Source organism: Homo sapiens, chromosome 19, assembly GCF_000001405.40.
Source record: "Homo sapiens chromosome 19, GRCh38.p14 Primary Assembly".
In the NCBI taxonomy this organism is placed as follows: Eukaryota; Metazoa; Chordata; class Mammalia; order Primates; family Hominidae; genus Homo; species Homo sapiens.
In genome coordinates, this window is record NC_000019.10 from 51,539,883 (window position 1) to 51,555,727 (window position 15,845).

General features: G+C 48.6%; 1 pseudogene, besides 1 other annotated feature; it reads right to left on the reverse strand.

Moving 5' to 3' along the window:
- SIGLEC28P (sialic acid binding Ig like lectin 28, pseudogene) lies at nt 5,444–6,205 on the reverse strand (annotated as a pseudogene).
- Nucleotides 6,130–6,179: an enhancer, noted in NCBI's record as "active region_15021". NCBI's record gives its function as "activates an Ori minimal core promoter by ATAC-STARR-seq in GM12878 lymphoblastoid cells {active_cell/tissue: GM12878}" and the evidence as "EXISTENCE:reporter gene assay evidence [ECO:0000049][PMID:35858748]".

The following is a 15,845-nucleotide window of genomic DNA, read 5'->3' on the forward strand; positions in this document are numbered from 1 at the left end:
GGAAAAGTGTGCATTGTTAACAGAAAAACAGGTTCTTGTGCCAGCAGGCTAGTAAATCTCATAATTTCATTAAAAACACTTTGGGTCACTTTGTACACTATTAATGGGACTGTACGTTAGCACAGCCATTATGGAAAGCAGGAGGTTTGTCCTCCCAAAATTAAAAATGGAACTACCATATGATCCAGAAATCCCATTTATGGGTATCTATTGAAAGAAAACAAAAGAGACATTTGTACTCCCATGTTTACCAAAGTACTATCCACAATAGTCAAGATATGGAATCAACCTAAGTGTCCATCAATGGGTGAATGGATAAAGAAAATGTGGCATGTATACGCAAGAGAATATTATTCAGCTTTGAAAAGAAAGAAAATTTTGTCACTTGCAACAACATGGATGAACCTGGAGGACAATATGCCAAGTGAAATAAGCCAGGCACGGAAAGGCAAATACTTCGATTCTGCTTATATGAGGAATCTGTAGAAGTCAATTTCATAAAAGCAGAGGCTAGAACCCTGGTGATCAGGGGTGGAGGTTGGAGACAATGAAGAGATGTTAGTCAGAGGGTACCAAGTTTCAGGTAGACAAGAGGAATCTGGAAATCTCCTGTACTGCATGGTGACTATAGCTAATAATACTGTATCATATATTTCAATACTGCTAAGATAGTAAATTTCCAATGTTCTCATCACAAAACAAAACAAATATTGCTGGATACAAAGCAATCCTTTTGATGAGTATAAGGTGTTACTTTAAAGTGCAAAGGGGTTGATAAGTGTGAGATGGCAATGCATATATTAGCTTATTTCTTCATTACACAATGTACACATATTTTAAAGCATTATGTTACATATCATAAATATACACAATTTTATTTGTCTATTAAAATAGAATAATGATAAAACACAAAGGAAATGTCCACAAAACATCACATTGTATGCTGTAAATAAATACAATATTTATTTTTAATTACACCTCAATAAGGCTGGAAATATTGCTTTGAAAAATCCAAAGGCACCAGGCACGATGGCGGGTACCTGCTGTTCCCACTATTCAAGAGGCGGCTGTGAAGGAGGATAGCTTGAGCCCAGGAATTCCAGGCTACAGTGGGCTATGACAATCATACCTATGAAAAGCCACCACACTCCCACCTGGGCAACAAAGTAAGAACCTTCTAAAAAATATAATAAACAAATAAAATTTTAAAACTCCAGATGGAATCCAAATAAATTTTTGGAATTAATAAACAAAAAAACCTGCCGTTGCAAAGATCATGAGTGACAAAGGTGCCCACTTCTCCGTCTGTCCTCACCCCTGTCTCTCCTCATCTGTGGTCATCACTTTACTCCAGCTGTGCATTGAAACATCTCCATCCTGGACCCCTCTCCTGAGCTCCAGACATTTGCATTCAGCTGTCTCCCTCCTATCCCCATTCAGATGTCAGGGGGATTCTCAGAATTATCATCGCCCCTGAAAGCCACCCGTCTGCAGTCCTCCATGGACACAGCTCTTTCCTTCCAGGTGCTCAGAGGAACATTCTGGCCCCATCCTTGCTCTTCCCTTCCCCTCCCTGACAACACTCATTAGAAAATTCTGTGAGCCTGACCTTCCACTCACATCCAAAAACACATCCTTACCCCATCCTGCCTCCCTGGCTCAGCCCCATGCCTCCTCCTGGATGACCCAGCAGCACCTTCCCAGCCTCCTTGGCTGCCGTGACACACGCGGTTCTGCTCTGACCAGAGCAGCTGAGGGTCCTGTTAGAGTGAGAGTCCAGTCAAGCCTCTGCTCTCTCCAAAGGCTCCAGGTTCCTGCGTAGCCTCAGGGCCCCACGCAGGCTGCCCTGTCATCCCCGCTGCTCCCTCCTCTGCCTCCTTCTGCTCTCAGACTGGGGCTCTGGCTGTGTCTGCAATGCCCAGGCCTGCTGCTGCCTCTGAGCAATGCACTCACTGCTCCCCTTCCCTCTTGCTGGGATGCTTGTCTCTCATTCAGACACAGAGCCTCCCTGCTCAGCACCTTCATGCCTTTGCTCACACACCACCTCCCCTCATTATCAGATAAGAAACGGTTCCCCAGTCTATCTTATGTTTCTTTCCCTGCATGCTTTTTCTCCAAACACAGATCTCCACCCCACATGCTCTTATTTTATTTATTATTTCTTTTCATTTGTACTTTTCCTGTCTCTAGAATGATAGCTTCTTGAAGACAGAGATTTTTTTCGTGCTGTGTCTACTGATGAACCCCTGGTGCCAATAATAATGCTGACACATAATGGATGCTCAGTAGAGTCACTGAAGTTAGTCGCTTCGTGTCTATCACCAATAATGCCTCTGCTCCACTCAGAACCAAATAAGAATTACACACACACACATACACACACACATGCACACAACACACACACAACCCTGAGTGACATTAAGACTGAGCCTGAAGGACAATTGGGACCTAGATTGGCAGGAATGGGAGGGAAGGGCATTTCAGGAGAAGGAATTACACACGCAAAGTCTCAGAGCCACAGAGGGCTTGGCCTGCAGAGACTTTGGGTGGAGAGTCTGGCCAGGAACAGACTGTGCAAGGCCTCCATTCCAGGCTGTGGCATTTTCCCCTTGTTCTCCAGCACCAGAGAGGAAACACGGCTGCTCAGACTGTGGAGGAACTGGATGAGGAGGCATCTGGAAACGGAGTCTGGAGTCTGTGTTGGGAGAGATGGAGGCAGGAGGTGAGGAGGGCTCAGTGTTCAGGGAGGAGGCGAGGCCCCAGGCATGACCAGGGCCAAGATGGAGAAAAGGGCCCCAGGATGAACCCTGCTTAGAAGGAGGGACAAGAATTAGTGATTTGTGGGATCTGGAGGAGGGAGGGAGGTGAAGGTGAAGACCCATATCCTGGTTCTGACTTTAGAGATGGGAGCCACTATGTCATCAGTAGGATGGGGATCCCAGGAGAAGTGGGTTGGGGGAAGAAGATGGGCAGCTCAACTTAAGCCATACTGAGCAGAGCAATCCTGGAGGCCATTGAGGGGGAGGTGTCCAGTGGGATGTTGAGGATGAGATGCCCACAACCCCTGAGAGATTAGCCCGTGACAGGGTCTGCAGCCTCCACGCCTGCTGCTGCCCTTCCTTCCTGCAGAAACTGACAGTGAGTAAAAAGACAAAGGCCTGCCAGTGTGGCCGGATCGGGGTGCAGAGGGCAGCAGACTCATCTCCCCGTGCCCTGCTAAGGGGCAGGAGGGGACTGGGGTGGAGAGAGCAGGCCTAGCCCCCAGAACCTCCCTAATGAGAGCAGGAACCTCCCAGCCCGGACATTCAGTGAAAGCCGAGGTCAGACAACAATTGGTCCATGTGGAATTCTCGCCACAATTCAGCCTACTGCCTGGCCCTCTTGAGCCTTCAGATTCCTCCAGCACTGGGACCTGGGATTCAGCACCATGTCCCCTGTACTCCCCACATCTCTCCTTGGTCCCTGGGGCAGCGCTCAGCTGAGGAAGAGGAAGCAGAGGCAGATAGGCAGGATCTTCACAGCCGCCTCCCCGACAGCCACCAAGACCACCTCCACCACAGGCCCTGATTTCAAAAAGTTTTGCCCCGGCTGGGAGCAGTGGCTCACACCTGTATCCCAGCACTTTGGGATGCTGAGGTGGGCAGATCACTTGAGGCCAGGAGTTCAAGACCAGCTTGGCCAACATAGCAAAACCCTGTCTCTACTAAAAATACAAAAGAAATTACCTGGGTGTGGTGGCACATGCCTGTAATCCCAGCTGCTAGGGAGGCTGAGGCACAAGAATTGCTTGAACCTGGGAGGCAGAGGTTGCAGTGAGCCAAGATCACACCACTGCAGTCCAGCCTGGGCAACAGAGTGAGACTCTATCTCAAAAAATAAAAAAAAAAGTTTTGCCCCACAATGGGTAGGTGAATACATACACTTTTACCCCTCCCTGTTGCGCGTGTAACCTTGTTCACCTTCATGGGTTCTCCATGGCCATATTTTTTCAAAATTAGAAAGAACATATGACCCAACTATTTTGCATTTAAGAACTGATTTCACAGGCATAGATGTACACTTGTGGCAGTAGATACAAGATTATTTATTGCAGTGTTACTGTTGGTAAGATAAAATTAGTGCCATGATATTCCATTAGGCACAAAATCAGAGTCCACATTTTTGATGCCACGAAATTGGAGTCCATCCACACAGTGGAATCACCCACAGTACTGGAGGAGAGTAATGTCACTCTGATGTCACTACTGATGTTAAACCATCACTGAGATCCTTCGGGCAAGCAAATCAAGGCGCAGCGCAGCCAGGACAGACACTGGCGGATTCTGGGGAAGGGGACGGGTGTCTGAGGGTAGATTCTACTGTGCACTCTGAATTCTCACCCATGTGACTATATCATCTGTTCAGAAGAACTTAGATCAGGACTACTGGGGAGAATAAGAAGATGAGGGAAGAGGAGTATTCAGCAGGTGGGGACTCAAAGCCTGGATCTGCTATGTGAATGGCACCCTGCCCTTGTTATGGGGCCAGTGGGAGTTGTGTGTGGAAGAGGCCAAGGGGAGTGAGGGGAGGATGGGGACAGGTGCTCAGGTGGCCTTGGAGACTAACGATGGGGAAGACCTCTGTTTCACTTACAAGAGGGTCTCAGGTTACGAAGTTGAGTCCAGGAAGAAGCAGTAGCCCAGCCCTGCCCCAAGCTGCAGGCCCTGCTCCCTCAGCCCCAGGGAGGGGGCTCTGTCCTACCTGTGCCGTCTCCTAGAGAGACACCAATCCTTGGGTTCCTTAGAGCATCTAGAACAGGAAGAGAGAATTTCCCTTTCTTTGGGGTGGAGATGAGGTAAAAGTAGGTACTCCTCCCCTACCCCAGAAGCCACAGGAATGTCAAAAGACAGAGCTTGTGTCCTTCTAGTTCCCCTGCTCAGCCAGGCCTCCAGGACATAGCCACAAAGTGTCCCCTGCCCTGACCCTCCTCTACCCCCTACACCCTCAGGAACCCAGGCATCCTGGCCCCAGCACTCACAGGAGACACTGAGCTGGATGGTTCTCTCTGTAGTCACACCAGCTCCAGGGAACTTCACCTGCCAGGTGAGGTTGGTGCTGTGGTCCTGGGGCCATGGGGTGATCGTGAGCACTGAGGAGCCGAAGGTCCTGGAGCCCAGATGCAACAGGGAGACCCCCATTCAGAAGAATGTGGAGGGGGCTCCTCCCATTCACAGGCCCAGAACACATAGCAGGTAAGGTTCCTGGTGTGACTGGTACCCCAGAATCCCTGGGATGAAAATGTTGGGCTTGTGGGTCAGGGCTGGTGAGGAGAGAGAGGAGCTTGGGGACCCTCTGAGTGTTATCAGCCCACCCCAGGGTCCTTTCACGCTGTCGGCATGCCACCACCTCTAGAAGGAGCAGAACCTTCATTGCTTTATTTCTGGTGTCTGGGCTTTTAACATACTTGTCATATTCCAAGAGAGCATCCTACAAGATATGAATGTTTCCTGAATGGTTTCTCCTTTCTGAAGAGTCCGTGTGGGCTGGGCGCAGTGGCTTATCCCTGCAATCCCAGCACTTTGGGAGGCCGAGGCGGGCAGATCATGAGGTCAAGAGATTGAGACTATCCTGGCCAACATGGTGAAACCCTGTCGCTACTAAAAATACAAAAATTAGCAGGGCATGGTGACGGGTGCCTATAATCCCAGCTGCTTGGGAGGCTGAGGCAGGAGAATCTCTTGAACCCGGGAGACGGAGGTTGCAGTGAGCCAAGATTGTGCAACTGCACTCCAGCCTGGTGATAAAGTGAGACTCCATCCCAAAAAAAAAAAAAAAAAAAGAAAAGAAAAGAAAAAAAGAGTCCCCGTGTGTGCCTCTGATGCTCAGGGAGAAGTTGCTGGTCTTGAGGTCCCTGGGCAGGAGGAATTGGTCCTGGGTCCTGCCATGAAGCATTTGTCCTGGTCACTGGAGGATTGTGGTCTACATCCACCCCTTTCTGGAACCAGCACAGGTGGAGGGTTCCATAGTAAGTCCAGGAGTAGGGAAATTTCTGCAGCCTGAGGACACACAGGCCCTTCTGCACCATCACAGGTTCCTGGAACTGCAGCTGTTCCAGAACCTAAGCCAGGAGCCCTGGAGTGAGGAAAAGACTAAGCCTTGGGCTCTGGAGCCTCCTGAGTGGGGGCTGCTGTCCCCGCAGCCTATGCAGGGTCAGCAGCAGTGGCATCTCTGCCTCATACCCAGGGGCAGACCTCTCTGAAAGGGAAGGGAAAGCTACAGGTGTGGGACAGCAGAGGAAGCTTGTGGTGAGAACAAGAGGTGACCAGCCCAGTAAAGGGAACTTCAGACACACAATGAGTCCATTGTAATTAACTCTTTAAGAAAACTGAGTTCCATTTCTGCATGTTGCTCAGACAAGGCAAGAGGCTTGCCCTAAGTAAGGCAGCAACGAAGGACCGGAGTCCCCAAGTCCTGCCTCCTGGACTTGTGCACAAGTGACTGGAGAAACAGGTGCCACCTGGCCAGTTCCCCATGAATCACAGGCGTGGGACCCCCACAGAGGTCAGTCTCCTAGAGATCAGCACCAGAGGCATGAAAGGGTCCACGTGAGGTAAGAGCAGCAACACTTCATTCATTCCATGTGTGCATTCATTCTCAAACAAAAGTAAAAGAGACAGATTTGCATCATTCCTGACGCTCAACTAACTCAAGTAGTCCTGGAAGACAGAAACAATGATGGGCTTGAGCTTTCTCCAAGGACAATAGGGAGTCATGGAAGGTTCTCATGCAGAAAAGGGTCACCATAATATATACATGTCAGATAGATCCCTCCAAGGCCAGACTGCAGGCTAAGGGCCTAGAGAGAAAGCTGTTGCGATTGTTCGGTAAGGAAGAACCATGCCTTCAAGGAGAGAGTAATGTAGTGAATTCTTAGAATTGCATGCGACCTCAGTGTCCTTTTGAAATACCAGAAGCGGGGCTCAGTCATCCTTAACAACTTCCAGTTCTAAACCACACTCAAATGGCTCAAGCTGGTGGCCAGAGATAAGAACTTAGACAGGCACAGTGACTCATGCCCTTCAACCAACCCCAGCACTTTGGGAGGCTGAGCGGGTCGATCTCTTGAGTGGAGTTCAAGACAGCCTGGGTAATATAGAGGGACCTCATCTCTACAAAAAACAATAGGTAAATAAAAGAACCAGCGGCATCTCTCCTGTAAAAGCAGACTTGCCTTCCTGCTTTTTCTGCTGCTACCTTTAAGGGAACCACAGATATTTACCCATGAACTTAAAGTAACCACACCCGATTCCCTGAGAGGTACTGCCAGTTGCCGTGTGCTTTTCTTTCTCACTCTGCCTGACTCCTCATTCCTGACTCGGGTGACCCAGGGATGGACTGGGTCCCCCCACTAATTACTGCCCCCCCTCCACTCATTACACCCTCATTGCCTGGAGTTTATAAGTAAAAATCTTTAAACATATTTCCTAGCTTGATGGTGCATTGAACTTGCACCCTCCACCTGAAGAACTGTGGCTACTCTAGGCTGGGTTTCCCCCCAGGACACCTGGGAGGGTACAAGGGTGGACTTCCAGTGCCAGGGAAATGGTCAGGCAGGCATAAAGTGAACACGGGTCAGAAAAGAACCACAGGGGCATCTGTAGCTTAAACAAGTTGCCCATGTGAGGCACCCATGGTCATGGGTCAGACAACCAGGCATTAGATCATCCTCCACGTAAGAGAAAGATCCTGTGAAATGTACGCTGTAGACACCACGTCCAGCTCTCCTTCATTTCCCATTAGGGCAGGGTCATCAGCCACTCTGGCACTGAAGCCCCAGTTTAGCTGGGGACTCTCAAAACAAGTCACCTTGGTGATTGAAGAAAGAAGCAATTTGAGACATTTTCAGAAAGTGGACTTTGCAGGGTTGGTGGTGGTGCATGACAGAGCAGGAGCACCATCATCTCAGACTAACACTGCCACTTTAAGTTCCAGCTCCCTTTCTAGCCTCGTGCATTTCAAGGAAATCACTTATCTTCTGACAACAAGCAGCCGGAAAGAGCAGACAGTGAAACACAGATAAGACAGCTCAGGCATAAAGGGATGTCTGAGGGGGAAAAGTCTCCTGGGTAACCACCAAACTTCACACTCATACAATGGGCCCCAGTAAAACAGTGGGCCCTAATAAACACATTCCTTCCCCTTTAGGTACACTAAGATAGGGAAGCTAAAAGCAGACTCAGGGGGTATGCCTGCAGCTGCAGGAAGACGTATGGGATTAGACACAAAACTCTCCCTCCCAGGTAAGCAAGACAAAGAGACACAGAAACATTCTGAGCCTGTGATAAGCTGTACCGCCCTGAATCCTTAAAAACTCTTAGTCGGTAAAAGAGAGTGCCTCTGACCTAACTCAGCCAGAAGCCCTTCTCAGGTTTAGTCTCCAAAATAAACCTATCTTTAACTGTTCAGCTGTTTTTTGTGTTTCCTTCTTCTTTCTTTAATTCTTATAATGCGTGAGAGAGGGGAGCATCTGCAGTGGCTCCCAGAGCCCCGACTCAAGCAGCAGGGACTTGGGGGTGTCATGGCAGAGAGCTGGTGAGATGAACCGTCAGGGCTTGGGGGCAGGTCTGGGCTGGAGAGGGAGGGGTAGGGAGTTTCACAAAGCCTACTGGGGTTGTACTCAGGGGAGGTGGATGTGTTCACCAAGGGGAAACAGAAGGCCCCAGTGGGAGGGGTGGGGAACACACAATCTTAAGCTTAATTGTGGGCTGGGGAATGGCTGAGATGGCCTGGCCAGGGAGGTAGGAGGAGAAGGAGCTGCACATTGGTGACAGCAGTGGTGAGAATTTTATCAGGGATGGGTGGGAGGGGCAGACTGCAGGGGGCAGCGGGGTGAGGGGGAGTGGGACTCATTGGGATGTCTTCAGTCCTCTCCTGTCGGAGCTCTGGGCCTCCACTTCTGTCCTGAGCAAGCAGCAAGCCCACCTTCATCACGACCCCAGAGGGAAGGTTTTTTTCCTACCTGTACCATTTCCTTGGGTGGGGCCAATAGCCAGATTCTGTGGAGAATCTGGCATCTGGCATCTGGAATGGAGAAAGCCACCATTTTCTACCACCATGCGGAGGAGTATGGCTGCTCTGCCTCTTTGGCTAAATCCATGGAAAGCTGCTGAGGTGGGGACTGCTGTGATTTCTCCTCCCTTCTCCAGTCGAGCTCCTGACCAGGCGTTGAATCTCTCAGGCCCTGAACCCTTCCTGTCCATCCTGGCAGCCCTCAGCCACCCAGGTGTCCTGGCCAACATCCAAGGGGGATGCTGAGCCTGGTGGTATGAGGAGCTCAGCTGGGCTGTGAGAGAGAGCTGTGCTTCAAGGTGGCAGGATCACCGATTAAAGCAACAATAGACCAAACTGAAAGAATGAATCAAGCCTTTAATCACAGACAGCAGTGATAGAGGCAAGAGTCTAAACCAGAGAATGCACCAACTCTTCTTGTTTCATTTCCTGCCACCCCTCTGGAACAGTGCACACTGCTGGAGGGTCAGGTGGCTCATGGATCAACACAGACATAGGGGTCGGGGTCCTCTCACTGAGGAGGGAGCCCTGAACAAAAGGCTCAGGCAGTTCCACAGACCCTGGGAAGGGTGGGGGCATGAGAAGGGCTAGGAGTGGAAAAGAACTGAGTACTGAGTCAGAGTGGGGAAACGTGTCTTCAAGGTTCCTCCTCCTGCCCCCCGCAAGGTGGTCTCAGCAGAGGCATCTGTGGAAGACCTCTGTCCAAGGCCTCAGAAAACGAGGCCTAGAAATAAATGTAACTGGGATAGAAATGCAAATATGCATAGCGCATGACTGGCCAGAAAGGTGGGGTCCTTGACCACAACCGAGTGTGAAGAGGGTGGAGTCTCCCAGTGAGGCCTGCCAGGAAAAGCCTTTGCAACTGCCTGTGATCGAACCTGAAAAGCCACACCTAGGTTTTTAACCATGTGCTGGACTCCTCAGATAGTTCTACCCATGGATCTACCGCTTCCTAGGAAGGTCACCTGGCATGGAGGCCTGATGCCACAATCTTGGACCCTAGGATACAGGGGTACACTGAGGACTTGAAGCGGGGGCTTCAGAACCCCAGGAAGAGAGGTGCATCTTCCTTCACAAGCCCCTGGCATGGTGCTGTTTAGACTCCAAGATGGCTGGCTTTAAGCTTAAAGGGATATAAATTATGGGTATCTGATACAAGCTACAGAGGAGGAGAAACTCAGAGGGGAGACCCCAGAGTGTCAGCCTGGGGTTGGCCTCCCCTGCCCTCAGCCCCAGGATCCTGCACCTCTCCCTTACTCTCCAGATAAGAAACAGGTATGTTCCTGCCTCTGGGGCTCTCTCCTGGGGACCCTTCTCTACTGGTCACAGTCAGAGGCAGTGTCATTCATTGGGAGCTATATTTCATGTGATATCTCTGACCTAGAGATGTGTTCCTACTTTCCTGCATCTGGAACATCTGATGCTCTGAGAGCAACTGTGGGTCCTTGGGTCTCTGAGGAGGTTAGCTTTGCCCCAGGTCCTCTCTTCCAGGTTTTTCTTTTCTTTTCTTTTCTTTCTTTCTTTTTTTTTTTTTTTTTTTTTTTTTTGAGATGGAGTCTCGCTCTGTCACCCAGGCTGGGGTGCAGTGGCACAATCTCGGCTCACTGCAACTTCCACCTCCCAGGTTCAAGCGATTCTCCTGCCTTGGCCTCCCTAGTAGCTGGGATTACAGGCACCTGCCTCTACACCTGGCTAATTTTTGTATTTTTAGTAGAGATGGAGTTTCACCATGTTGGCCAGGCTGGTCTAGAACTGCTGACCTCAGGTGATCCACCCACCTCGGCCTCCCAAAGTGCTAGGATTACAGGCATGAGCCACTGCGCCCAGCCTTCTTCCAAGTTTTGACAGGGCTTATTTGTGGCCACAGGGGGATTATGGTGTCTGTGGGCCCCCTCTGGGATCCAAAGGTGGGTGTGGACTGGATTAAAGTCAGTCCAGAAAACCCATGGATTGGACTGGAGAATGAAGCTGGGCACAGAATGCAAAGGTTCCCTCTTCACCGTCACTGACTGAAAGGTGAGAGCACAGCCGGCTGATTCTCATGGGACTGCTGCCGGGAAGCAAGCTGTGGCTGCAGCCCGACTGAGCAACCTCTTCCTCAGGCCTCTGCTGCCCTCACAGCTGGGGCAATGGCAGCAGCGGAAAAGGATGTTCTACATTCCGCTGACACCATCTGATTTGTTGGGAGCCGAAAAGGCCAAAGAGATCGTGACCAACTCAGCATTCCACTGGAGGCTATATGATCAAACAGCAAACTGTTTATCATGAATACAGGATGTGAGCAAACTCACGACTGCACCTGCCGCCAGAAGGTTTGCTGAGGGCGGTCACTCCCTGGCGCCGGCTCCTTGAAGTTATCTTCTGGGACATCTAGGGCCTACTGTTCAAGGAATACAGTCTTGCAAGCCTACTCTAGATGGAGCAGCTGACCTCTTCTTCCACCCCTCCTTCTCGCTATCTCTTTTGCCTAATAAATATGGAGGGCTGTGTAAAGTTCAGGGCCCTTGTCCACTAGAGGCAAGGTGCCCCCTGACCCCTTCTTCCAAACACATTCTTTTGTTCTCTTGTCTTTGTTCCCGCGTTCGTCCCCCTTTGTTCAGTCCCCCAAGGTCCGTGCAGTTTACAAGCGGTGCCCCGAACAGTGACAGGATTGGGCAGTCTACAAGTAGCACCCCAAACAGTGAGAGAACTAGGCTGTCTTCACTGATTAGCCTCTCCCACTTGGAAGTGGGCACAACCTTGGAGTGATAGATTCTCTTCCTGGATTGAATGTATTGTTCCTCTCCCAAATTTCTGCCTTCAGCAAACGCTACTTTTGCCCTCAGACCACTACAGGGGAAATGAAAGCTGAGCTCTCCTCTCCCCTGACCACAGCAGGGTGGGACCTTCCTTCCTCCTCTTCCTCACCACCTGAAGACCAACCCCCACTTCCCTCAAGAGAGATGTGGAGTTTCTGGGTCTGTTTTCCCCAGTTGCTTTTCTTGGAGCCCCTTGCATAGGGTCATAGGAGAGTGAGACTGAGACTCTCCTAAAATGGAACCCTCTCTGTCCTCAGCTCCAGCCGTGGCTCCAGCTCTGGCTCCAGACTTAGGTGAGCTCTTTGGGTTCAGGGTGAGGCAGAAAGAACTTGTCCTGTGTCTCTCCTCCTACTCTCACTTCCTGTGGGCCCTGCCTGCACATATACATACACAGTCTCTTCACTTTGACTTTTCCACAGTTTTCCAGCCTCTACAACTCCTCCCCTCTGTGGAGTGACCAGCAAATATTCCTCTCCTGGCCTCTCTCTCTCTTGAAATGAATAGCCTGCTAGGTCTCCCATGGACAGCTCCCCATCTCTGAGCTCACGGGACTCTTTTTTCAATCTAAGTAAGATCCCTTGTGTGCCTAAACACTTTGAATGTCTTCCATCACTTCCAAAGACCATGCTTCCATCAGCTGCCTGATATTCTGTTCCTCCATTTAGCCTACAGATCCTGAAGCATATATACATAATATATATATTATATATATGATATATGACATATATATATATATGTAATCTTTTAGGATTGGGCACAAAGCTAAAGACTGAAAAGGACCATGAGTCTTGTTCTTTGTCCTCCAGAGCTCCAATTGGGTACGAGTACCAGTCGGAGGTGGTACAGAGGTGAGAGGAGTAGGGAAGAAGAGGGAGAGGGGAAGAGACACAGATTGAGACAGAGAGAGAGAGAGGGAGAGAGAAAAAGAGAGAAGAGGAAGAGAGGGAGAGGGGAAAGAGATAGAGAAAGAGAGAGACAGACAGACAGAGAGAGAGAGAGAGAGAAAGTTTTCCTTCAACAGGAACATTCCCTTTGCCCTCAGACAAGGCAAAGGGGGAAAGAAAGAGACTAGAAACAGACTGAGACAGAAAGAAAGGTAGAGAGGCAGGAAAAAGGGAGACAGGGAGAGAAAGACAGAAGAGGGGAAAGGGGAAGAAGGTGAAAAGAGACATAGACTGAGATAGACGAAGAAGCAGGGAAGAGAGAGAGAAAGGGGTAGGAGAGAGGGAGAGAGACAGAGAAAGATGAGCAGGAGGAAGAGGAGGGGGGGAGGAGAAGGAGGAGGAGGAGGGGGAGGGGAGGAAGAGGAGGGGGAGGAGAAGGAGGAGGAGGGAGAGGGGGAGGCGAAGGGAGTTTATCACAATTAGACAGGGATTCCTGAAGGCCCCGGGGGTGGAGTCTGTCCTAAGAGGCAAGAAACCAGGGATATGTGCAGATTCCCTCTCTGAGTGATCTAAGGGCCCATCTCCTGGGCGTGACCGAGAGCCCGAGAAGGGCAGACACAGACTGGGAGGTTTTCCTATCCTGCGCCGTTCTCTCCCATGTCTACCATCAGGGACCGCGCAAAGAGGCTGGTGGCTCTCGCTGCACATCCAGACACGTTTTGGTCCTGGCGAGCCACAGGCATCAGGGAGAGTGGCGCTGTCCCTGGTGCTGAAGCAGGACTGTGTCCCTGGTTTAGGAATGACTGGGCTATGCAGAGGAGTCTGACTAGATAGGATCCAGATCGGGGTCTCCAGCCGGCAAAACAGCTGAGTCACAGGATTGGGCCGCCCAAGAGGGAGGAAGTTAAGGAGGGGCCGACTGTGGGTCTGTATGGGCTGGACTTCCCTCTGTGCCCCTCCCGGCTCCTTCTTTACCCCAGGAATGTTTTGGGTCAAAGCCAGCAGCAGCTCATCTGTAGACCTCTTGTTGCATGAAAAAAAAATCTTATTTGTTAAAGCCCCTGAAAATCAACAGACTCACAGTAAAGTGCATTTCTCGTTGATACAATACGGAGGGGTGAAGATTACCCCAATTCCATTTGAAGCCAACAGGATATTTTCCAAAAGTGCCATACTCCTTTAAATCTCCTGACCATGCATGACAGTGCCCAATATGACAGACTTTTTTTCACTTTTGGTAATTCAAGATTAGATAAATAATATAATCTCCCTTCCTTACTTTTCAAAGATGTGATTATAAACAGCCTTGTTGACCCAATTTTTAAATTAATCTCTGTGAATTATTTATTTAAAGAGTTTATGCAGAGGGGCTTTGGGGTTTTCCTTAACAATGTGTCTAAGCTTTTTGTGAAGATATTAGTCTTCTCCTATTATTTACCTTGGAGAATAATACAATTTTTTTAACCGACAAAATATGCATCCCTAAATATCAAAGTTTAGGTTTTACTGTTTTTGGCATTTATGTAAATTGCATCATATTGTATGCATTTTTCCTAGCTACTTCACACAATAATAGCTTAAGAATTTTTTACTGTCATGCAGAAGGGATGCAAATCATTAAGTGTACAGCTTAATGATTTATCACACAGCGAGCACATTCAGCTCACAAAATAGGTATTGCCAGCTCTGAAAATGCCTCAACAAACTGCACTCCCACCATCAGAACACAAAGGTCCCGATTTACTCATATCTTTGCCACACTCGCTGTTATTTGCCTTCTTGATTTTCTGAAAGAGTGTAAAGAAGTATCTCATTTCTGTTTAATTTGATTTTTTTTCAGCTACCAGTGAGGCTGCGCATCTCAACGTGGACTTGTTTTCCACTCATGCTTCCATACTAGCAGATTAATATTCATGTGCTTTGCATACTTTTACTTTGGCTTGTTTTCCTTTTTCTCATTGGTTTGTGGGAGTTTCTTACACATTCTAGTTCAAAAGTCCTTGTGAGCTTTAGGTGAAACAAATGATTTCTCTCATTCTGTCATTTCTCAATGAAAGTAGTCTGATTTGTCCTTGATTTGATGGAAAACCAGAGTTTGGATGCAACCAAATGTGTCCTACAAATTGGTCTTTTTTTTTTTTTTCCTGGTTGGTTAAACTCAGAATTTTCGAGCTTTAACACCCCTATCCCAATTACCCCAAATCACCTCAGCTTCCCTCAGGCTTTACATAGGAACTGGTGGCGACATCAGTGAAGGCCTCTCTGGGCAACTTCCGGTTCACATTGGCGTCCAGGCGTGATTTCTTCAGCATGTCCATTGACGCGCATGTTCAATATCACTTTTGGAGCTATGCTCTGCAGATAGTTATCATGGTGTAACGCGGTGGAGGGCGTGTCCGTTATTTCCATTGTAAACTTTTCTTCAGCGGCTTTGTCAGGAGAACAACATGGTCGTGCCCAGATAGAGTTGGTCACTGGAGGACGCCATCTTCAAAAGATGGTCGTTCCATACAGCCAGGGAAGGCCTTGGGGTCTCACACAGCAAGGTCTTGGAGCTGTGCCATACTGGCAGGGACCCTGTTGTGTATATATCTACGCAGATATGTGTATGACTGACATTACATATTCTGAAAAATAACTCTTTTATATTTTTACACTTATTTGAAGGGTTTTTTTCCCCCTTCTACTAAAGAATTCAATGTCTTCTTGAAAATTAACAAACTGCATGTGCTTAGGTTTACTTCTGGGCTCTCTAGTCTGTTCCATTGGTCTAACTGGTCCATATGTCATTTGGAATATAGCTAGCACCATACGGCTTTGATTACTGTAGCTTTGTAATGTAATTTGAAATCAGGAATGTGATTCCTCCAACTTTGTTTTTCTTGCTTAAAATTGTTTGGCTATTCAGAGTCTTTTGCAATTCCATAAGAATTTGGCAATTATTTTTTTCTGTGAACAATGCCATTGGAATTTTGATAGAGATTACACTAAATCCGTATATCACTTTGGGTAGTATGGATATTTTAACAATATTAATTCTTCTAATCCACAAACATGGATATTTTTCATTTATTTGTGTCTTCTTCAATTTCTTCCATTAATATTTTGTAGTTTT